Consider the following 25545-nt stretch of genomic DNA (forward strand, 5'->3'; position numbering starts at 1 on the left):
CAAACATAACCTTTACTTAACACCTGTTTTTGTAATTGCAAGTTTCTTTAACCAGAATCACATGGTTCTCAAATCAGACTGAACAGGAAGGCTTATAAAAATACAGATATACAGATGGAGAGTCAGCCCCAGAGTTTTCAATTGAATAGGTGTGGGATGTAAGTTTTTCAAGTTCTCAGGTGATGTTGATATGCCTGATCCAGAAACCACACTTTGAGAACCACTGAATAAGAAAATAGTATCTCAGATGCTTTCACATACAGGGCTATATATTAATGTAAAATAAACATGGACATATATTATGTACATAAAAATATAATATTAGAATTTAAATATAATATATATTACATTTAACATATATATATGCTATCCAATTATCTCTTTTGCTTCACTGAAAACCATAATTCAACTGAGATATCTAAGTAACATACTTCCAGAAGTAGGATCATACCAAGACTCCAAGCCGCATTAGCCAAATTTTACCTAACAACAAAATCTCTGTTGTTGGTTGAATTGTGTTCCCCCAAAAGATATGTTCAAATCCTAACCCCCAATTACTTATCTCTGTTTTCAGTGGTACAGAATTGGGAATAATGACACTCTATTGGGTGTTTGCAGATGTAATTACTTAAGATTAGATCATACTGAAGTAGGGGGAGCCCTAATTCAATATGACTGATGCTCTCATAAAAAGAAGAAGGGACAGGGACAGAGAGAGAGAATGCCATATAAAGACAGAGGCCGAGATTGTAATGCTGCATCTACAAGCCAACAACCGTCAAGGACTGCCAGCCGTCACCAGAAACTAACAGAGAGACATAACATTCTCCCTCAGAGACCTCACAACATAGCACACACCTTGATCTCAGACTTGTAGTCTCCACTACTGGGAGAAAATTCATTTCTGTTGTTTTATGCCACCCAGTTTGTGATGTTTTGTTATGACAGCCCTAGGAAACTAATAATGCCCTTCTTCCCCCAGTACCTGATGATTCTGTCTGCCTCTAAAATTTGCCTCACATTGCAACATTTTTTAGTGCTCTCTCCTACTCATTGTATTTTTTTTTTTCATCCTTAGGAGGGTTTCTTTAAAGAAGGAGAGGATTCAGGGAAAGAGGGTGGGGCAAATTGTGACCATCTCTGCCTAAATCATTAGAACTCAAGAGAGCTGGGGCCACCATGGAGACACTTCTGGCCACTTCCTTCTGATTCCACATCAAGTTCCTCAGGCTCTGGGCCCTGTTTTAATTGTCGGCCTGTGGCTTTGATATCCTCTTCTTATGTCTTTTTGGCACTAAACCTTGCCTTTCTTCCTGGCTCTTCTTGCCCCTCGCTTTTGGCTTGGATACCTCTGCCATGTCCTGCAGCTGGATCGAGGAAAACGTTCCACTTGCCCTTCATTTCTGGCTCCTACTGCTCTAATTTACCCAGTTCTTCTCTGACTATCCCTGAGTCCACTCTTAACAATATAACAATCTCCTCACCCAAGAGGTCCACTCAACTCTGTTTTTCCATAAATAAATTTCTCCTCATCAATCTTCTTTCATTAAATAAAATGTGTCTGAAACCCAAAGACACAAGATCTTTTACCTTCTCCTCCACTTCTTACTGTCTCATGACTTTTGGGAACCTGATACGTTGACTCTTAATACTACTTTAGTTATACTGCCATTTTTAGGATATGATTGCCCTGCTTCTGCTCAGTAATCTCCACTATTTTTGATGTCTACTTCTGCCCTCTTCTCTTCCTTGTCCTATCCATCTTTCTGTCTTCAGGACAGCATGACCCATTCATCACTGTCACACTGTTCGTCTTTTCATCATTGCCAGATACAGTGGTTCTCAACTCTGGCTGCACATTAGAATTACCTGGAAAGCTTTAAAAAACTAGTTCTCCGATGGCTTTACCTTCAGATATTCTAATTTAATGGGAGAAGGCCTTAACATCACATTTCTTAAAAATCATTTATTTGCCTGGTAATAATCACTGGCCTACCATTATGCTCAACAGATTCAACCTTTATGATATTTTTCTTACTTCCTAGCCTCATAGTTCTTCACTTTCAATGTTAAGCATTGCCACTTTGTTTCTCCCACCCCATCACTCAGACTTGCCTTACAACTCTTGATAACTTGAAATAACTCTACCATTTACCAACATAATCACAAACTCTGACACTGAAATAATTGCAGTCTTCTCCTCACCTTTCTCACTTCCAGTAAATAAGCTCTAAATTTTTTATTTTGACCCTATTTTGTTCTTTGACTTTTAAAAAATTACCTTACATGATGAATTTACTTTCAGGTCTACCGAACCAGACATGTGGTCAACCTTGTCAATAATACTACCATCTATTAGGAAGGAGGGTTTATTCTGAATTTGTCAGATTTCCATAGAGGGGACGGAATGTGTGATTTCTAGGATGAAAGTTTTAGAAGAATACTTGAGACCTCTTGTCCAGGGCCTCTCATAGACACATCCCCAAAGGAGTGTGTGATTGGTAATCATCTGACTGGTAAGCTAAGGGAAAGAACCTGTGGGTATATGGATCAGTCTTTATTCCTCTCCTGAGTTAAGGAGGCAGTTTTTTTTTTCTTATTTACCAGGCCATAAGATCATTTTTCAACTCTGCCAATGGCTATGTGGGTAAGCCATTCATTCATGGAGAAAATACTTAGATTTGGGTTTCCAATCTACATTTTCTAATTCAGCTATATCCATAACAAGTCTCGTGTTCTGATTTCTGTGTGATTCCAGTGATTTTCTTACCATTGTTTCCCAACTTATGAGAGGAAGAACCTCAAGAACAGACTCAACTAATTAACTTCCATTCATTCTGCTTTTGTTGCATATCTGACCTGGGGATCTGGGGATCTGTCCCCCAACAACTCTTTTTTTAAAAAATAAATTCAAGTTTTATTCTAGATTTGGGGGTACATGTGCAGATTTGTTACATGGGTATGTTGCATGAGGCTGACGTTTGGTATATGAAACTTGTCACTCAGGTAGTGAGCCATAATACCCAATAGGTAGTTGCTGTATCTTATTAGAGAAATGCACAAAGTCCTGCTTCTTGGATCCACTGTAATTCTTTTAAACTAAGCTAGACTCTTATTATTGCATCCTTTTTAAAATTCCTAGTGTATGCTTACTATTGATGTCCTTCCTCATAGCAATTCCTACCTTTTCTATTCTACTAAAGCTCTTATACTAAATCCACATCACCGAGACTTTCAGTGAATAACTTCAGCTCATACAGTTTTGAGAAAACCATATAACATTTATACTCTTTATTTTCCCTTCACTTTAAAATTTATTTTCATCCATCTTCTCTTCCTTTACATGCCTCCCTTAAGAATAACCATTCTTTTTCCCTCAGTACCTCTTCACAAGGGAAAGATTGAGATTCTCAGTCTCTCCCCTCTCTAAGACTTCATTTCATCAAGTCCTCTCATTTGTTTACATCTGTAACTTCTCCTTCTTTACAAAATAATTTCTCTGCCTAAGGGCATGGTCATAACAAACAAAGCCAGGAACTAAAAACAAAATCCTCAATTCTGTTACTCTTTGAAATGACTTTTTTGTTTTCCTCCCTTCAGCACGTAATCTTTGAAAAAAAAATCATCTAGATTTTATGACTTTTTTCTCACACCTTACAACATGAACTCCCCCTAAACCAATGGAAATACCTCATTTATAATTCATCAATAGAATCATAAAGAGCCTATCAACAGGTTTTGCTTTTCTCACATTCAGTCTCTCTCCTTTCTTTCCTTTATCCAACCCACCAGTGTTTTAGGCTTCAGATCCTTGTATAGATGATAATATATGGTTGTTGTCACTGCCCCAACTTTATATGTACATTTACAATTACTGACCTAGGCTCTAACTCAGCAGGTCTCTCCCCCAATTTATCAGCTTACTCTGAATTCCCTACTTCAATAAGTGACACACTTATTTCCTAATGACTCAGGCTCAAAATGTCAATGCCATTTCATACATTCAGTTACTAATTTCTTCATCATTCATTATGTACCTGCTTCTTGCCAAGGAATATTTTATGTCCTGGGGATTACAAAGCAGAATAAAACAATATCTCTTTTCAATGAGCTTATATTATATTGAAGAAGAAGACTGACAAGTAAACAAAGTATGTGGTAAGTGCTGTTTTAGAGGTAGCACTGAAAGACTGTTAGAAGACAAAGCAGAGAGCAATTCATGTTGTGTGAGGGAGTTGGAAGAAATGCTTCACAGAAAGCAGGTGCTTTACTTCAGTCTTTAATAAGAACTAGGCAGTTAAAAATAGAGAAGGTAAGTCCAAGAGGCTGGTAGGGCAGAACTTATAAAGTCAAAGTTGCGTAAAGCCATGAGAAATTTGGTTTGACTGGAATATAAAAGCAAAAGAAAGTAGGACGAACAAGAGTGAGTCAAAAGACTTATAATTAGCCAGGCATGGTGGTGCCTTCCTGTAGTCCCAGCTGCTCGAGAGGCTGAGGCGGGAGAATCACTTGAACCCAGGAGACGGAGGCTGCGGTGATCCAAGATCTGACATCAAGCCAATGCACTCCAGCCTGGTTGACAGAGGGAGATTCCACCTCAAAAAAAAAAAAAAAGAAAGAAAGAAAGAAAGAAAAAGAAGAAAAGAGAGTTATCATGAAAGTCTCCATATGTTGGTATGGAGTTAGTGATCAAAATTGCTTTTAGGGCAATGGTCCTAGCAACAACATGGAGTGAGAAAAATACAAAACTTTGATTATACTTCCTCAAATTCCCAAATATAAAATCATCTGTTACATCTTGCAAATGTGTCCTTTACACTGCCTTTAAAAATTTTTCCCCTACTGTTTATATTCCACTCCTCCCATTCTGGTTTAGTAGCTCATTACCTTTCCTTTGAACATCCAGACTACAAAGAGAACAATTCCAATCATGCCATTCACATAGTCATAAGCTGTCCAGGACACTTCACTGTCTACCACACTGAAGGTCAGTTATTCATCATGATGTTGAAGGCTTTTCACAGTGACATAGCTATCTAATTATCTGCTAATATGAAGTGGACATGGTCAGTGTCACAAACAGCACTTTTGCGTGATATTTATACGTGGCAGAAGCTTTTCCTCCCCTACATCTTTGATTTGTGTTTCTTTAATACCTTGAACACCATCTTCGCCCTCTGCCTTTTGAAAGCCTGTCCATCCTTAAAAATTGATTTTAAAATACATCTCCTTTTGAGATTAAAATTTTAAATTACTCCGAACATATGTGATTGTTTCTTTATGCTTTCATGAAACATTGTACTTTTTATATGTGACTTAAAAATTTATCTGATGCAGCCATCACACCACTTATTCTCATACAGCGTAAACTTCTGACAGTGACACTGCATGACTCTGGCTTTCATTTTCTTTCATTTCATTTCAAAATATTGCCTTGCACAAAACTGTATTAATTAAGGTTGTTACCAATTCCAGAGGTTACTACTTGTCTTTTTCTTCGAAACTTCATAGTTCAAGATAACTATATGTTTAGTCATGATAATTTATTATGTACCAAGCAAGAAGTAAGCACCTTAAAAACTATCCTCAGTTGCTGATATGGTCTGGCTCTGTGTCCCCATGCAAATCTCATCATGAATTGTAATCCGAATTGTAATCCCCATGTGTTGGGGGAGGGACCTTATGGAGGTGATGAGATCATGGAGGCAGTCCCCCTGTGCTGTTCTGGTGATAGTGAGTGAGTTCTCATGAGATCTGATGGTTTTATAAGAGGCATTTCCTCCCTTATTCCCTCTCTTGCTGCCTTGTGAAGAGATGCCTTCCACCGTGATTATGTTTCCTGAGGCCTCCCCAGCCATGTGGAACTATGAACAATTAAACCTCTTTCCTTTATAAATTACCCAGTCTCCAGAAGTTCTTTATAGAAGCATGAGAACAGACTAATACAGTTGCCTATATTTTCGATGTCTCCTCCCTACTCTACTGCCCCTAGAAAGCATTAAAAACAAGCAAATTGGATCAATCACATTTCAAACTTCATGCTCAGAAAGTGTCTTCAGGCACTATTGTACTGTATGAGAAAAAATAAAGTTACTTTCAGTGAAAGAATTGGCATTTTTAACTTTGCAATGCCCAATGAACAACATGATTTTGTTCTATTTTTTACTGCTCAACTCATTGATGTCAAGTAGTTACTACCAGATTCAAAGAGAGACACTTTACCTCAAACTGCAGTGTTTACACTTTCTTGTGATTTTTCATTCTTAGATTCTATTATGTGGTTTCTTCACTCCTTTACTCAGTTCTGTCTTGATATATCAGAGCCTCAGGCACTGTACTAATATATATCCTAAATATTTTTCTTGATTCCATTATATAAAGGCTCCCATTCTTGCAACAAAATGATAATGGTGAGAAATAAAGAGTTAAATGCAGATTTTTTTGCTATCTTAACTTTAAGGACGCTATATAATAATGTAGAAAAAATGTACAGACACACATATAGTGACCAAATAAAAGTAAGGTGTTATTATGTAAAAAAGTGATGGATACCATTCAATTCTTCATTTTTTACCCCTACTTAACATGACAATAAACTATTAGCAAACATGGAAAATTGATTATGATATGGATTATGTTAATTCAGTCATTCAGCAAATATTTATTAAGTATTCATTATGTCCCAGGAAACTGTGCAAGTTCTTAAAGGTATATAGATAAGAATATATAGACATTTTTCTAAAAGATGTCACATGATAATAAATGTAAATCAGCAAAGGAAAGAGTGGAGGTGGGAAGAAATTGAGAAGTAATGTATGTTGGGAATTATAGGTGATTATTCTTAAGTACCAAAAAGAGACAGAAAGCCAGAGGAGATGAGAACCTAATTCCTATTCAACAGCAGGAATTAACCAGGGAATTAAAAGAAACTTCCAGTTATAAGCTTGAAAATGGGAGTCAAAAATTACAGCATAAGTAAAATTTAGTGTGCCAACCAGACACTGGGTGCTATAGACAAAAAAATATCTAGACAAATCTTGCCCTTTTTTGGAAGCTGAATAAAAATAAAACACATATGGAGGCAATGAACAGGAAGAACATCTAGAAGATCTAGAAGAAAAATACTAAAAATAGTATTCTGCACAAATTAGAAAAATAAATTAAAAAATAAATGATGCCATCAAGAATATCCAAAGGACATTTACTTTAAAAGACCTGATATGTAAACAGAAAAGTATGAAAAAATGCAGTGTGAAAAGGAAGAGGAATACAATTAAAAATAAATTGAAAGGTTATTAACTATGTAATAGCAGATCTGATACAACAGCAAAGGAATCGCTATGTGGAAGATTATTTTACAGACCTTTTCCAGGGAGTGGAGGAAGAGGATGGAAGCACTCACATTGTGCAAAGGAACAAAAATATTGGAAAAAAAAATTAGATAAAAGATGGCTGTTATGGAAGTCTGTAAACAAAGAGCCATCACCGAGATGAATGGTATTCTGAAGAAAGTGCAACCATACCTATTCCCAATCTTACTTAACATCTGCATATGCAGTTTGAAAGAGCTCATCAGATACAGGTGAAAAAAACCACACTGAAGCCTGTTCCACAAAGTTGGGCACCTGCTCCCAGCACTCACAGAACTATGTTTATTCTAATAGATACATTCTAGAAGGACATTTTAATTGAAAGAATAAAGAAAAATGTACAAGCTTACAGGAAAAAAACTACATTAGCCATACTAAACAATAAACAATTCACTTCCAAAATATGAAAGGCCAGGGCACAACAAAGACAGATGCCTGACAAAATATCACTCAATATTTTTTGAAAGAATAATATTCTAGAAAATTATAAATTAATAAAATTGAAAAATCAGAAAACAAGTAGAAAACTTGAATAGAACCATACCCTGGGGAAAAAAATTGAAACAGCTGAAAAGATCTAACCTCTAAAACAGATGCTGGGACCAGATGGCTTTATGAATGAGTCCTCTCACCCGTTAAGTGACCCAATAATGCCAATACTGTTTAAACTATTCCAGGATCTGAAAAATAGAAAGATAGCCTGCTCACTGTATAAAGCTAGTATAACAATGATACTAAAATATGGGAAAGAAAATGAAAGAAGTAAAAATGGCACACCAATTTCACTTTGGTATATAGATGTAAAAATAATATAATATTTGCAAACTTAAATCCTGCAGTATATTGAAATAACATCAGAATCAAGCATATTAAAGAATAAGTAATAGATTCAAAATAGAGAATATATTAATATGCTCTGTATCTATTCCATTCCCACCTTCTCAAACACTTCGACTGTAGAGTCCTTTATGGCAGAGTGGGACAGAGGTTGTTTTTTTGGGCACTGCTGGGTCTTCTGTGCCTATCCCAGTATCTTGCCAGAGTAATCAATAAATCTCTCTCAGTATGTGGAAAATTGAATGGAGAGGTTGTTGGAGGCTGAGGGGAGGCATTTGTAATAGATACAAGTAAAGTTTAGCAAATTAAAAATTGATAAATTTCCTCAACAGGGTATTTTTACATTATGTACCAAAAGCCTTAGAAATTCACAATTTCTGAGCTAGTAACCCATCTTCTGAGAATTTATTCTCAAGAAATGGTAAAGATCATGTACAAACACTTTCATCATTCTCCTTGTTTATTATACAAGATTTTCCCCTGACTTTCCTTTAAATGATGCAGGTTTTCACAATACATGCTTCGGACCTTTCTCTACAGTGTTTCTAAGCCTCTTTATCCTGGCTCATAGTTTAAATTACCATCTCTCACCGATGATCTACAAATTTTGCCTCTCATTCTAACCTATATTCCAAGTCCAGAACACTATATGTAACAACATTTTTAGCATCCTCCCGCCCCCTTGGTTGTTTCAAAGACATCTTAGCACAGTATTTACAATATTGAATTTATGATCTTCTCTCCCAAAGTTTGCCATTCTCTGAGGTTCTCTAAGAAATTCCATCCAGTTCTTCAAATTTAGAAGTCATCACTAAAATTTCAATCCATGACCCTCCCTAAATCCATCCATAAATCCCTTTACCATATTTTATTGATATAATATTCTAAATATTTACTAAATATCAACTTCTCTTTAAGACCTCTACTACTTCTATCCAATGTCAAGTTAATGAGTGTCTGCTCCCTGGGCAACTAACTAGACTCTGTACACATATGCCTGCCATTCTAATACACTGTTTACACTGCTATCCTAGAGATTCAATTTTTTAATGAGGAATATATTCATTGATAACATATCTATACACAGGAATAAGCTTGTACAAATAATAAAATACTCATCTATATACAAATCAATAAAAGCTTTTGCAAAAGAGATATATGGAGATATGAAGTGTGATGATGGTGATAAAGGAGAATGAACAAAGAGAAAGAAGTGGAAGAGGAAGATAAAGATGAAGACGAAGAAAAAAAGAAGAATGATAATAAGAACAAGTATAAGAAAGACTTTTAAAATAAAATAATTATCTACAAATAATTTTAAACACTAAAAAAGATGAAAGAACAGCAATATTCAATTTCTTCGCAAACTCTGAGAAGCTCAACAAGTCTTTCAAAAGCAACCACTACCGGAAAATAGACTGTGACGATCAGATGTAGTGCCTCAGAGAGAGGCACCTTCACTGTATGTCATTAATACGTCTCAATCACAGTGTCAAGGGTCAAAGAAAGAAAGAGTAAAATATGAACTGGTCCAAGCAGAAGATAGAACCAATAAACCAACCAAATAAAATAATGGGCTATTGTGACATGGATTTAGCACCAGCAGTTGCTTGTATATAAAATATTCCCCTCAACCCCAATTTTCTTTGCATACTTTATTCCTTCTTCTTCAGATCTCAGCTCAAATATAATTTTCTTACTAAAGCTTTGCATGAGTTCCAAACCCCATGTAACATTGTTTCGAATATCCTGATTTTACTTTCTTAGTGTTTATCACAGTGATTATTTGCAGACATTTTATTAAAGTCTGTTTCTTCCTCATTAGTCTTTGCGTCCTTTGAGAGTAAAAATATATACTCATATAAACACAGGGCCTATAGAGTGCCTTAAAGGCATTCTATAAATATCTGTTGATGAGATTAATAAACAAAAAATGAGAACAAATAAATGAACAATCCAAAATCTCGCCATACTGGATTATTACTTTTAGTTTAGTTTCTGAGTTTAAGTCTGTCTTGAGGTCATAAAATGTTGGCTACAATTAAATGTTTCATGTGTGATAAAAATAGAAAAAGGAAATCTGTGATACATAAAAACAAAATCCAAGTTTCTCCCTCTATTCCCTACTTCAATCCCACTGAGCTAACCAGTGCTAATTAACAACATGTGTATAAATTCTTCCATTCCTTTTTCCTTGTTCATAATAATAATAATAGCTGATATTTATGGAGTACTTATTATATCCCAAGATTTGTTCTAAGCATTTTACATTATTATTTCATTTATTTCTCAAAAATCTGTAATAAAACTACTAATACTACTCCATTTTGCAGATGGAAACACTGAAGTATGAAGATATTTAGCAACTTACCAAGCTGGGAAAGTCACACAGCTGGTCAGAAACAGAGCCAGTATTCAAATAAATACTCAGATGATTTGGCACCAGAGTCCTCTGTGACTTTATGCTGGGTCTTTCTCAATGTACACACTAACTTGCTGTATATACCTGCATAACAATGTACTGAGAAGCATTCAATCAGTAATGTGTTTACAAAGCTGTTAGAACCACGCCTGGCATATAGTAAACACTTATTCAGTGTATGCAATTATTGCTATAATGTTTATTTGTTTTAATGAGATATAATCTTGCTATACATTAGTCTATAACTTGCTTGTATTACTTAGCATAAGTATTGGATATTCTCTCTTGTTTTCTAGTTTACTTATGCATTTAAATATGTCTGTACACACATAGAAATCATTTTACATAAATAGGTTCCTGTATGCTTAGAATCTCCTGTTTCCTACAATTCCTATCTTCTTCCCTTTATCCACTCTAATGAACATATTAACAACCTGATCATAATGTGTTTTATGAAATATTATTATTAATCCAACTGTACCTCCAAATTCAACAGAAAAGAAAAAACATTTCCAAGAACAACAGCAAAAATCCCACAAACACACTTCCAGACAAGGTCCTTTGGTCATTGTACAATACAATACCTACTTCTGTGCATTTTGCTTTACTTGTTCAAATGTATCTGATAGAAATAACTCAAAATCAATCAATAGGATTCTATTTTATTATTTTATTGACTATATAGTAGGCAAAGGAGTAAGAGTTTATGTCAAAATTATTTTCTTGATGAGCAGTCACTTCATTTCCAGGTTTTTGCCACCATAAATGGTGCTGCAAAAACATACTCAGATATAAATTTACACATGCTGCTTTTATTGCAAGGTTAAGGAGCACATCATTTTAAATGTTAATAGATGTTACCAAATTGCTTTTCCAAAAGGCTGTAACGATTCACATTTCTACCATGAGTAAATGAAAGTACTCTCTTCCCCACATGACTGCCAACAGCAGGTGAATTGGTAGTTGTCACTTTATTTTGCATTTCACTGACTAGTGAGTTTGAAAATCTTTTCATACATTTATTGTCCATTTATATTTCCTTTTATGTGAATGGCCTATTCATATCCTTTGTCTGTGTTACTATGAATATATATATAAATATATATATATATATGGCCCTTTATCTGTTTATCTGTCATCTGCATTGCAAAATTTTTAACAAATCAAATTTTTTCCTGTTACCTTATTTATTGTATCTTTTGCCATGGAAAAGCTTTATTTAAAATTTTGATAATTAACTTATTCATATTTTATACTTCTGCCAATTATTAACTTATTGCCTGTCAGCTTCATACCCAACCTTCTAAACTCAGCTCTGTGATCCTGGAGCTGAAATTGCAATTTCCATTTCTGTTTACCAGTAGGGTCCGTGTTGAGCTCTGGCCACAGTGGGAGCTAAGGGAGATGGCAAGGCTGGAGGAGGAAGCCAGGACCTGGCCTTTTCTATGTACTCCTTGTCTACTTCCTGTGTGCCTCCAGAGGACTCTTGTGCCTTGATTCTTCATCCCAGCAGCTCTTTTTATGGCAGCAGCTAAATCAATTTCAATTTTTGCCAAACTCATAGAACCATTCTCATTGCACCCTCTTCAGAGACACTAACAGCACCTGAGGAGCACCTCATTTTAGAGGTTTGAGTTTAAGCCCTTCATCTAAGTCTTTTAAGATTTAATAACTCAAACTTTTATTTGGCCCCTCTTCCCTAGGTATTGTAGTTGCTTGGTACAGTTACCACCTCTCTGATCCTTTAGTTCTCTCTTTTAACACTTTCAGCTACCTAGTTAGTAATTTTATATATATAATAGTTGTATCTTAAATTATATGTTTTGGAATAAATGATGTGGTTTCTCTTCAACAGTGATATAATAATTCATAAATTAAGTTGGGTTATTTGTATTTTCTTAGGAAGTAATCTATTTGCTCTGGATTTTCAACTTTATTGCCATAGTAATGCTTGTATTTTCTTATTTTATATGCTATTCCTTCTATACATTTTATTTAATCTCTTCTATCATTCTAATGTATATATATATATTTCACTTGATTAAAATAACTGGATTATCTATATTATTGGTTTTGTGGGTGCATATGTGTATATATGTGTGTGTATGTATATGTGTATGTTGTGTGTCCATGTATGTGTATGTATCTTTGTGTGTATGTGATTGTGTACTCATGCACGCGTGTCTATGGGTTGATGTTTGTGTATGTATATGTGTGGGGTTTTTTAACAGCCATATAGCACAGCATAATGATAAAAACATTTTGTAGTTGTTAAGAGAGTATAGCTATTAACTTAATGCTCTAGTGCAGAATTCACCAAACTTTTTCTATAAAAGGCTAGTTTTGCAGGCCTATAGTCTTTGTCTCAACAAATTAACTCTGCGATTGTAATACCAAAGCATCCATAAACAATATATAAATGGCATGCTCTGGGGTCACTCTCTATTTGAATCTTTGCCCTCTATCCCATGACTTTGCCCAACTAACTTACCTTTTAGTGTCTATATCTCATCTTAAATATCACCTTCACTAGGAGCATTCCATGTTTCTCTACTGGATCCTTATTATTTAAGGTGTGGTCTGTGCACAAGGAACGACCATATCACCTGGGAGCTTATGAGAAATTCAGAATCTTGGGCTCCATGCAGTAGTGTGTCAGAGTTGGTTCACACTGATTTGTGAAAGCAGAATACGCACAACTCTTCCCAAATCAGAGTTCAGTGACATTGAGTTGGTAGCTTGAAATTGTCCACGGAGGGAATATTTATACCATGGCAGTTTGCAAATGCTACAAATGAGAGTGTTTTATTTAAGAAAACAAAAAAACCTTGTTTCTTGCAGAGCATTGGCTTACCCCAGACCTACTGAATTGGAATCTGCATTTTAATAAGATCTCCAGGGCATTTATATTAATATTAACATTAAAATTTGAGAAGCACTGCAGTAGATCATTTTTTCCCAAAGTACATGTTAGAATCACATGGCATGCTAATTAAAATACAAAGTCCTGAAACTCATGTGTACATAGATTCAGAACCTCTTTAAGTGGAGCCTCAGAAATCCTTTTTCTGTAAAAATATGCGTTATAAACAAGCTTTCTGCTTGGTTCTTAGGCACCCTAAAATTTGACAATTATTGTTCTACAATATCTGTGCCCAGGGCATGCTTTGTTTTCTAATTTATAATAGAGCAGAACTGTAGAATCATAAAGAATTATTCCCAGGCCTTGAGACCTACTCACAGAACTTACACAATTTGTATGGCTGAATTTTGGAATTATTATGGACTAATGACCCTTTTATGCCTTCATTTTCCTCCTTTTAGAACAGGAATGTATACAGTTGTTATTCTGTGCCTGCCCAACAATGTATATTTGGTAATATGGGGTAGATGATTTGTCTATTTTAGTTTCACAGGTCTACAGATAGAGAGGAATGGAATTTAAGGAGCTACACTTAAACTACGTCCCAGGTGCATCATCCACACCTGGATCTAGTTAGGTAGCCGGTTTCTGGACGTCAGATCGTTGCCAATTGGATGAAACTTTTGAGAGGACTTGGGGAGGGGCTGCATGTGGGAGGACTGCTTAAGGACTTTCTAAGTTCCCTCATTTGCTTAATGATGGTTTCAGAATCATCAGGGTTGGAGTGTGGGGAGGATGATGAGGTGGAAGGAACTCAAAAGTTCTTAGCACATTGGAAATCTAGCTCAGCACTTTGTAAAATAACCATATTTTTAAAGCCAACCCCCTTCATAGCGTTTATCAAAGTCCCTACATTGCTGGGGATCTCACATGTGTAATTCACCTCTTGAGAATTGTGTGTTTCTCTGGCCGGTTGTTTTTTATCTTTTTTCCCTAGCTCATCACATATAACAGAGAAAGCAGACACACACAGAAACCCCCCCAGAAACCTTTTCTCCAGTTCAACTACTAACCCTTTCATATGCTCCACATGGAAAAAGAGCTTCAAATTAATCACACGTGTCTATCATACACGGTGACTGGTGTTCACTTTGGAGTGTGGACTCTGTTGTTGTCAGGCTTAGCTCAAACTTTGGATTTAAATATGCTATTAACTCTAGTAGTGTATTTGACACTTAGTTAATTTTAAGGAAATATTTGTTGAGCGAAGGAAAGCCACCTATTATAAAACTGAGAATATTTTATATTTCAGGGTTTTTCCTTTCTGAATATGTGTTTTCATCCTATTTTACCAATGATCTTAAAAATTCATGTATTATAGAAAAAAATGAAAACTTGTATTGGCTTCATAATTTGGGAAGTAAATACTATCATATAAAATATAGATCCTTAATGTGCATAAAGTTTCAGTTATGCAAGATGAAAAAGTTTTGGAGATCTGTTGTACAACATTGTATTATGGTAAACAATATACAGTAGAGTTAAACATTTGTTAAGATAGTACATCTCTTGTGCTTTTTAACCACAATAAAATATTTACAACCCCTCAGAAACCTTGGAAAAATGACTGTTTCTATGGGGGAAAATAAAACCCTATTAAAAATAATAATAGTATATATATCCTAAAGCAGGCAGTAAAGTCAATAATAATGTAAAACAATTTTCTGAATTTGGGAAAATTGAATTATAGAATGTAATGGTGAGAATAATTAATTGAATATATAATAGAAAAAGAAGTATTTAAATTTTGACTCTATTTGCTCTGAGATTTCATTCTTATTCCCTTTGGCTTATCAGGGGCAAGTGAGATTGACTCTGAACTTTAATATTTATTTGTATTGGTATATTAGTGTTTCCCTCTGCCATTATACTATATTTCCTTTGCATTATTTCCAGTGAATTTTATGATGCTGGTAGTTTTACATAGAGAGGTTGGTTTTTTTAATGCAAAAAAAAAATGTAGAATTTTTTTCAAGGAAAATGTAATTCTGCCAAGTACTTTGGTTCATTTGATGCTGCCTGTTTAACTCTGTTCGGCTCAATCACTGTGTTGGACATATTGTGACAAAGGCTCATTTTCATCAAAAGGAATCCCCAGAGGGTTTGCTGCTTCAATGAAAGGGAATTCATTAAATATAGTCTAATGTAAGGTGATTGGAATATATATATTCCGATACACATATGTATATAATTGCATTTTAGTCAGTTCTTATGCTACTGGGAGCGTTTTTTTAAACACTCACTTCTAAATGAAGAATGCTGCATGAAAGCTTTTTCTCTTTCTGAAAAACAGCTGGTTTCTTCAGCAATTCAACCTAGAACAAAGAAATAAAAAATACTACATGCTAAAGCAGATCCGCAGTAAAAATTTTGTAGAGGCAAGGCAAAGTAACATTAATAAATGAAGCTAATTAGGCTTGATTTGCATATTTAACTCATCTTAATTACACAAGGATTCAGCAAACATTTTAAAAGCTGCAATCAATCTTTCACAGATATGGTTAGTTATTTACATGAAATAACAAAAACTAGGAGCTTTGTTAATGATTACTCTGTTTCTAATTTATATGCCAGTGAGATCATTTCAGTATTAATAATGGAATATATTTTTTAACAACCTGTAAACCCATAAGGTTAAAATTCCAAAGAATTTTTTCACAAATATGTTTTTGAGAATTTCCAGAATATATGAAATGTTATATAAATTGCTCTATTGTATTAAAATGTTTTACCTTGTTCAAATAAAAAAAGATCTTTATAAAATTCTTTTGACATTAATTTTTAAACTTGGAAACTAAGGTAGTAGCCATAATAGAGACAAGCAGAATATAGTAGGTGATAAGTAGGAGAATTTTTTCTTGCAGCTGGCATAAACTTTAATTCTGCTCACCCTTGGATACAATTTGCTTTCTCATCTTTAATAGTACTTTTGACTGGTCACAGAATTTGAAATTAAATAGGGGGCATAATGACACAATATGATTCTTTTTAATTTCAGTGTTTTATTTAGATAAATTATTTTGTAAAAATATACGCAGGAATGCTGTCTCTGTGTTGTGATGTGAGGGGCTGGCAGGTGCACTTGAAGTGGCTAAGTACAGAAGGTTCTGTGGACAAGAACGCAACAGTGCACAAAACTTTATGCTGTGCAGCTGTCAGATGGTTGTGACATTCCATTATTAGGGCTCCATTTCTTAGATTTTTCTCTCCATGAGTGTCCTTTTATAACATCAAAAATCTTGACCCTTTTGCTTAAATTACCTTGAAAGGGTGGAGGTCATGTGGTTAGGAAAGGACAGCTGGTGAAGGGTGCATTTACCAAACTTGCAATGTGTGTGTGTGTGCGTGTGTGTGCATTAGTTTAAAAATATGTATTAAATGCTTCCCACGTGCTAATTCATCGTTGTGGTTATAATTATGAAGTGATAAAGACGGTACACTAAATGTCATCTCTGCTATCATAGAGCTTGCAATCTGCATATTATGACTATGTAATTGTTAACATTTATTGAGTACTTGCTTTGTCACGGGCAGCAATCAAAGCACTTTACACCAATTCACTTGTTAAATCCCCAAAATGGCACTATCATGTAGATACTATATTATTTCTATTTTACAGATGAGAAAACTGAGGCTTAGAGTGTTCCAAGGGCACAGTAAGCAGCAAAGCCCAAATTCAGACCCAAGTAGTTTCGCTCCAGACACTGTGCTTTTAATCATTACATTATATGCTTGTATGATATCCAAGTCTGTTTAGATATGTATTCAAATATGTAAAATATACAACTTTTCATTTTGAGACTGCATATAAGCCCAAAATATATTCATGCAATATAGGTACAATACAATAAATAGTATAAAATAATGTCACAGTTTACCTTTTGCAACCAGTTAATGTTCTAATGGCTATTGTATTCCTAAGACATTTTATGAGTAGTAGAATAAAGATATCTGTAGCTCTTTGCAAGGGGTTGAATTGTGTCCCCTTAAATCCATATGTTGATGTCTTAATCCTCAGTATCTTGGAAGGTGACTGTATTTGGAGATAAGGTCTATAAAGAGATAATTAAAATTAAATGAAGTCATCAGGTTGGGCCCAAATGCAATATGACTAGTGTCCTCATAAAGAGATTAGGACACAGATAGACACAGATGAAAGGCCATATGAACATATAGGGGGATGACAGCCATCTACAAGCCAAGTGGAAGGACTCATAATGAAGCCAACCCTGCCTACACTTTGAGCTTGGATTTCTAGCCTCTACAACTGTGAAGAAATAAATCTCTTTCGTTTAAGCCACCCAGTCTGTGCCACTTTGTTATGGTAGCTTTAGCAAACTAGTATAAACTTAATTGTGTCTAAGGATGAGAACACCACTCAATATCTGAAACCAAAAAGCTGAATGTATAATACACTTAAGTGTGGAAGAATTATACTGGTCAGAGTTACCCATTGAGCAAATCCAATTGCTGATTTTATATCCAGTTTTTGTGAAGAGTTTACTTTGGATTGTGCTGGTTACAGAGGCAGGAGTTGGTTGAAGTCAGTTTTAGAAAAGTAGCTTGTATTGGTCAATGAGACTTTTTTTTTGCCAGTTACAGAAGTAGAAAAAAGTTGATAATAGCATTAGAAACATGTTCACTGTAGTGAATCCTGAACCAGTTGGCTGACTTTCAAGTCGTGTCTGTTGTTATTTGACTTTTACAGGAGTGCTCACTGAAGTTACTTGTCATTGATTAATTAGATAGGTTTAAAACCCACTCTGATTGTTTACTTGTAAGCAGGGCTGTAGAACTGTTGCTAATTGATTAGATGAGTTTATAACTAGTTCTGGTGCTTGTGAGCATGGATAGAGAACACTGAGTCTTTTCCTGGGAGAGTGGTGACTTTTAAAATTCTCAGCAGCCAACAAAAATTAATAGGTATAACAAGGAATAGAGAAAAAGCTACAAATTAATCTATAAATAACAATATCCCTTACTTGTGTAGGCATTATGTTAATTGCTTTACATAAATTTCTCCCACTGTAAATGGAGATTTAAAATATTACTAATTTCCTATGGTAGAGATGAAAAGAATTGCTATACACAAAGTACTTAGTAAAGTGTTTATACGAATAAGAGATAGTATCAATAATTTTCCAATAAGCTGAGTTTTAAACTCTGCAACTTCACTCAAATATCACATTCTTAACCACCACAATAATAATAAAATGCATATATATTATGGTTTCATTTATATGAACTAAGGTAGATACATGAGACAGTGAGGAAAGGGGATTGTATATGTATGAACTAGTCCATGAAATATACAACAAACATGATTTATGGTAGTTGCCTCTGGAGGTGGCCTAAAATGGGAGACTAACTTTTCATTGGAGAGTGTTTTGTAATATTTGACTTTACAACCATATTTTTATATTTCCTTTCTCAATAAAATATAGTTAATAAAAATTGTAGGGATGTTTTTACTAAGAAGGGCATGAGAGAATGTTTTGGAATGCTGGAAACATTTCATATCGCAATCTGAATAACAATTACACAGATATATACACAGATAAAAATGTATTGAGGTAAGCCCCTAAGATTTATGCATTTTAGTGTATGTAAATTATATGTCACTGATATGGTTTGGCTCTGAGTCTCCACCCAAATCTCATCTCAAATTACAATCCTCATAATCCCCATGTGTCGAGGGGAGACCTGGTGGAAGGTGATTGGATCGTGGGGGCAGTGTCCCCCATGCTGTTCTCATGATAGTGAGTGAGTTAACATGAGATCTGATGGTTTTATAAGCATCTGGCCTTTTCCCTGCTTGCACTTCTCTCTTGCCTGCTGCCATGTAAGACATGCCTGCTTCCCCTTCTGCCATGATTGTAAGTTTCCTGAGGCTTCCCCAGGAAAATTAAACCTTTTTTCTCTATAAATTACCCAGTCTCAGGTATTGCTTTATAGCAGTGTGAAAATGGACTAATACAATCACTAATATAAAAATTGATTTAACATATCAAAAAGGCATTTTTTTTGTTTTCTCTGACATTTAATTTATTTCATTTGTTTAACTTTTAGGTTCAGGGGTACATGTGCAGGTTTATTATATAGGTAAATTGCATGTCACAGGGATTTGGTGTACAGATTATTTCATCACCCATGTAATACGCATAGTACCTGATAAGTAGTTTTTCAATACTCGTCTTTCTCCCACCTTCCACCCTCATGTGGGCCCTGATGTCTTTTGTTCCCTTCTTTGGGTCTATGTGTACTCAATGTTTACCTCCCACTTAAATACCAAAACATGTGGTATTTCGTTTTCTGTTCCTTGTTGCTATGTTAGTTCACTTAAGATAATGACCTCCAGCTCTATCCATGGTCCTGCAAAGGACATGATCTCATTCTTTTTTACGCCTGAATAGTATTCATGGTGTATATGTAGCACTTTTTTTCTTCATCCAGTCTACCATTGATGGGAATTTAGATTGATTTCATGTCATTGCTATTATTAATAGTGCTGCAGTGAACATATGGGTGCATGTGTCTTTATGGTAGAAAGGCATTTTAAAATCTAGCCTTGGAGGAAAAAAAATGAGTGAAGTGGACTCACTTCATATTTTTGTCTTAAAATTTTTTCAAAAGAATATGGAATTCATTGATTAAGTAAGTCATTATAATGAGAAAGGAAATTCATAAGCATTAGCACTTTAATGATTTTAGTGATAATATGCTTGGCTACTTATTTTATGATTTAATTTTGGCCTAATTTTTAAGAGTTTTAAAGGTTTTTTTGTCTGAAATATGACTTTTGATGAGTATTACTTAATTTTTTTTTCAAATTTTCACATGACACTATTGACACTAAAAAGACTTTTACTATTTTGAGGGAACAAGCTTAATCTTTATACATAGGGTTCACGGTCAGTCAGGCTAGGCTAGCTTGTGTTATGGTAAAAAACAACCTCCAATTCTCACAACATGTGTGTCCTGCTTCAGTTCTATGTCCTTCATGGGTTGGAAGATGGGTGTGGGGCATTCCTGCTGGTCTTCCCAGGGATCCAGGTGGATCTCTCAGCCATGACCTTGAATGTTGTTTGTTTCTGCCAGAGGGAAAAGGGACTCCTGGAGGGCATTTGCACCTATCATTAACTGCTGAAAATGCGAAGTTGGGAAGAGCCTGAGAGGAGTATTCTATGTCATTTCCATTCACCACTCTTAAGCCAGAACTCATTACATGGTCTCTCATAAGCCCATGGAGGGTTAGGAGGTGCGTATCTACCCAGAAAGGAGGAATATTGGAAAGATTTGGCAAACAGCCTCACTCACTCCATCTTCTTGCACATAAAGGGCTAGGGGACTTTGGAATCAGGCAAAACTGGAAAAGTGTCATGACTCTGCCACTTTTTATTTGTGGGTTAGATGCCACTGTTTTCATCTCTAGAATGTGAATTACAATAGTACCTATCTCCTAGCATTGCTGTGAGGATTAAATATGATAACAACTGTAAAACATTTAGCATAATGCTTTAGGTATGTAATAAACACTTGATGAATGTAAAGCTGCATCCTCCACCTGGAATCACCATTTCCCTATAGTTGTTTAAAATGTTAATAGGCAATGGAAAAGTCAATGGGTGAATATGCTCCCGGGTTAGAACTACACTGAAGCAAAGGTGTTGGGGAATAAGAAAGTGCACGCATTTCATGTCATGACTGATCAGAATGAAAATAAATATTGAGAAGACTAAGCTATTTGTCCAATAATAAAGCATATCTGGTGAGGGTGGTTTTTTGTTTTTTTTTTTTTGCAATTTCATTTATAATCTCCATGTAAGTGTGCTTACTTTTTCATTCAATAACTGTATCGTATCTTACCAGAGATGTCTTAGGCCTTGGGGATGAGAAGACGGAGGAGTGGATGAGTTTGTCTTGTGGAGCGTAATTTTAGAGGCAGGAGACTACAATAAATAAGGAGAAAAATTCATGAAGTAATTTTGTTAATGAGGAGTGATATGAAGGAAACAAAATGGGGTGACCTATTTGTCAAGTATTGGCATCTGTGAATATAATTGAACCCTGAAATATCAGGGATGTGACACAGTGGAAGCTCAGTTCTCATTCATGGACTACCCAATTGTAAGGTCCCGAATGGCAGCTTTTCTCTCTGTGGTGGTTGAGAAACCCAGGTTCCTTCCAGTTTATGCTGCCTCATCATCTAGAGGCCTTCTGCGTATAGCCTGCAAAGAACGGAAAATCAGGAGTTTGGCAGATTATGGTGGATATTTTCTAAGGGCCAGGCCTATGTTGGACTTACTTCACAACTGTCTGTGTTAGCAGTGGAAGAGATCAGAGTTACCCTGATTTACCGACGGCAAATCCATAGGTGTCTGGAGCAAATTCAGCCTTTGCCTGCTCAGAAGAAAGAATTCGACTGAGGGGCATAAAGCAGAAAAAGAGACCGAGACCGGGGCAAGTTCCAGAACAGGAAGAGGAGTTTATTTTAAAAGGCTTTAGAATAGGAAAGAAAGGAAAATTCGTTTGGAAGAGACCTAAGCGGGCTCATGAAGGATCAAGGGAGAAAAGGGAGCAAAAAAAGGGAGGCCTTTAACCTTGTTGCTAGGACTTCATGGGCTTGCCTCTTTCCCATGATTCTTCGCGTAGGGTGGGCTTCCCGCATGCGCAGTGTTTTCCTTACCCTTTGGAATTGAGCACAGGCATGCAGTGTGTTTAGGGAGGTATATGCATGCCCATCTGAGGTTTTTTCCTTTCTCCAGTGGCATGTGCCCCCCAGAATGTCATACTTCACCGTTTTGTCTCTTAACACACATGCCCAAGAAGCTGCTTCTCCCTGGGGCCTGCATTCAATTAACACTTTAATGTTCACAAGCGTGGACCATCAGGAGATTGTCTCTCTCTGGCTAATAGATTAAATATCATTTTTAGAGAGGCAATATTGTGGAACCATCACCCAACATTTCAGTGGGTGATGGGAGAGGCTTCTCCTGCCCAGCTCTTGCCTAACTACCTGTAGCACCTGCATTTCACTGAGCAGAACTCAGTCACATGGCCACGCCTGACCTCTAGTCTGGCTGTGTGCCCAGGAGGAAAAATAAAAGTGTTTCATGAAACAGTTTCTGCTACTCTAATGACTGGTTGTAAGAGAGACGTCAGGAAATTAGATCTCAGACAGCATGAAAAAGGTTGTGTTTGAGTTGAAAGCAGCATGGGAAGGATAAGGACATGTGTATATCTAGATGAGAACATCTGCAATAAAGGAAACAGAAAGCACAAAGGCGGGAGCATTCCAGGCAGTTAGAAAACAGGAAGGCCAGTGTGACAGCTGTATGTTCTTGTATCTAACTGTACTTAGAGTTATTATCCTGACAGTACAAAGGAGTTGTCTGGATCAGATATCAAACCATTTACTCAGAGAGAAGACTGTTTATTTTCTATTCCTCAATTCCTTATGTAGGGGGCAGGGAGGGCTGGGTGAGAACCGGGTGTACCTTGTGGGTACAGAAGGAAAGGGGTTATGTACCACGAGAAAGGAAACCCCAAACCATGAAACTCAATTTTCTTTCTTCCCTCTGGGGAGTGGGGGTTGGAGGGAGAGAGGGAAACAGAGAGAGAGAGAGAGACAGTGAGAGAGGGAGGGAGAGAGAGAGAACATTAAAGAAACCTTTGCTCTGAAATCTAAACAAATCTTCCCAAAAAGAAGGAAAGCATCGGTTTGCAATCCTTGGATGTGAAAGAATGCCTCAGGGTGAGATGTCCCTGTATCTCCCCAGGGGTCTCTATCTTTAGGGTTGCTATTCAGTCATTCTTTAACTCAGGTGCCAGAACTCTGCTTAGAAAGCCCTGACCATGAAGAAATATGAAAATATTCGAGGAACACAGTGAAAAGGAAGAGTGGTAAAGGATGAGGTCAGATACAGAGACAAGAGCCGAACAATACAGGGCCTTAAGACACAGGCAGAGAGTTTGGAGTTCTTTTAGTGCAATGATAATTTTTTGGTTGGCTGTATGCAGGAGCGTGACATGGTCTGATTCAGCTTTTGTTGGTTGCTCTAGTGGCGGTGAAGGGGATGACTGGGAGTGGGGTGGAGTGGGAGAAGGAGGCTCCTGCCATAGTCAGGGTCTGTAGGATGATGGCCTGCCCCCAGAGTGGTGATAGTGGCAAGGGATGAAGCTGGGCAGAGTAGGGCTGTATTTTGAAGAAAGACTTGTAGTAGATAAGGGTTGGGGCTGGAGTGGGGGAAGAAAAAGAGGTATTCTTATTCCCAGGTTTTTGGTTGCCTTGGTTTGTTTGTTTGAGCAGCTGGTGATGCCATTTATATGTATAAAGATTTCGTGAAGATCAAAATAGACAGTTGGGAAGTAGTAAATCAACAAGTCTTCTTTTGCTTATTATGTCTGACGTGCTGCATCAGACAGGTCACCAGCAGGAAAGAGGGGACTCACGGAGTAAGCTCAAGTTTAATGTTTACAGAGGTATGGGCGGCATTAAGGGAGCTAGCACAGCAGCCAGGGACTCGCAACAATGGGAAATCATCACTGCCCACTACCACTGTGTCTGAAAGGGGAGGGGAAGGAAAGCATTACTGGATGCAGTGTGCAAGTGGCCATGAGAAAGGATACAGGAGCTGTGGAATTTGGTAGAGAATAAGGCCACCGACATAATCACAGCTGAACGGGAGGTAGCAGAAGTGGCAATTTATCCATTCTCTCTTTGTGCTTATCCATATCCTACAGGCGCTTCCCTCTGGCTGAATCCAACCAGAGCCCAGAAGTCCTAAGAACATAGGCAATGTAGTTAGTAGAGAGCCTGGCATAGGGCGGGGCAGAGCCATGCGGAGAATGAATCTGAGGGCAACAGAACAAACAGCACCCATGTCCACAAGAGCTCTTTAAGAAGGCAAATAGACATTCAAAGTTGGAACTCAGGGAGAAGTAAGGGTGGATATGTCAACTGGAAAATATTCAGCATTTCAATAGTATATGACAAATATTAAGAGCCAATATTTGTCAGGCCCTTACTCTGTGCTAGGCAACATACCAACATTTCCTGTGCATTATTATCTCAATTAATTCTCCTAACAAAGCTATAGGTTAAATGCCATTATCTCATTGTACATATCAGGCAACTGAAGCACAGTAAAGCAAAGCAATTTGTTTAAGGTCACACAGCTATTAGGTGGCAGATCCAAAAATTAAATGTGGCCATTTCTACCCCCAGGGTCAGTGATAGAGATCATTATTACACACAGCTTCTCTGTCTGAATCAAATGCTGGAGCAATGCATATTGGGTCACATTATTATTATTTTTTTTGTAAACTCTTCTTTCTTTTTTATTTTTTCTCCTTTTGAAAGACAACTATTCTGACAAGAATTCATCAAAGAAGAGATTCCAAATTTTAATGTCCCAGTTTGAGTATTGCTTTTGATTAAGGCTGTTTGCAGACTAGAATGTTAGTAACCCTCACATTCCCTATACCACAAAAAGAGGAGATTCACTTTTATCTTGGGAACAAAGCTGTGTAGAAAAGCTTTTTAAACTTATTTTAATTCATGAAACATTTATCTTCGAGTCAGGTTTTGTTATAGCAGCACAAATGTGGTCCGTCAGCATTTCCTTTATAACCCCATATTTCCAGGGTTTTTCAAGAGTGCCATAGAGATTCTACTTTGAATTAAAACTTGGCATTCAGAATTTGAAAAAAAAAGCTACTACACTTTTCATTACCAATTAATCAAATAGTTTAGCGATTCTCAAGTTAGAAAAGGACCAAATGCAAAACTTTCATTAATACAAAAATATTTTAAGACAATTTGCTAATTTATATCTTTGTAAAAATATTACCACTCAGTATACAAGTATTAATATTACATCACTGTATATTAGTTCTCAAAATTAACCAAAAAATTTCTAAGATAATATAAAAAACTATGACATCTTATGCTTTGCCTTTTTGGCTTTGTAAGTAATTTATTTCTATTTTGA

The 25545-nt window shown here is 36.2% G+C and overlaps 1 protein-coding gene and 1 long non-coding RNA gene across 21 annotated transcripts in view; one reads left to right on the forward strand and one right to left on the reverse strand.

The window, feature by feature from the left end:
- SPAG16 (sperm associated antigen 16) overlaps positions 1-25545 on the forward strand; it is a 1126038-nt gene that overhangs the window by 796316 nt on the left and 304177 nt on the right. The window lies entirely within an intron of this gene.
- LOC101928084 (uncharacterized) lies at positions 4264-22204 on the reverse strand. 6 transcript variants are annotated; one of them, XR_923859.3, is made up of 8 exons: positions 22153-22180; positions 21858-21952; positions 21419-21501; positions 17431-17604; positions 15796-15867; positions 10579-10713; positions 8308-8468; positions 4264-4596 (listed from the first exon to the last, which is right to left on the reverse strand). It is a non-coding gene; the product is annotated as an uncharacterized LOC101928084 (long non-coding RNA). The 6 variants fall into 6 exon arrangements; XR_923855.3 differs by having other exon boundaries at positions 10579-10728; XR_923856.2 differs by lacking the exon at positions 4264-4596 and adding an exon at positions 7648-8050 and having other exon boundaries at positions 10579-10728.

This window comes from Homo sapiens, chromosome 2 (assembly GCF_000001405.40).
Source record: "Homo sapiens chromosome 2, GRCh38.p14 Primary Assembly".
Classification (NCBI taxonomy): Eukaryota; Metazoa; Chordata; class Mammalia; order Primates; family Hominidae; genus Homo; species Homo sapiens.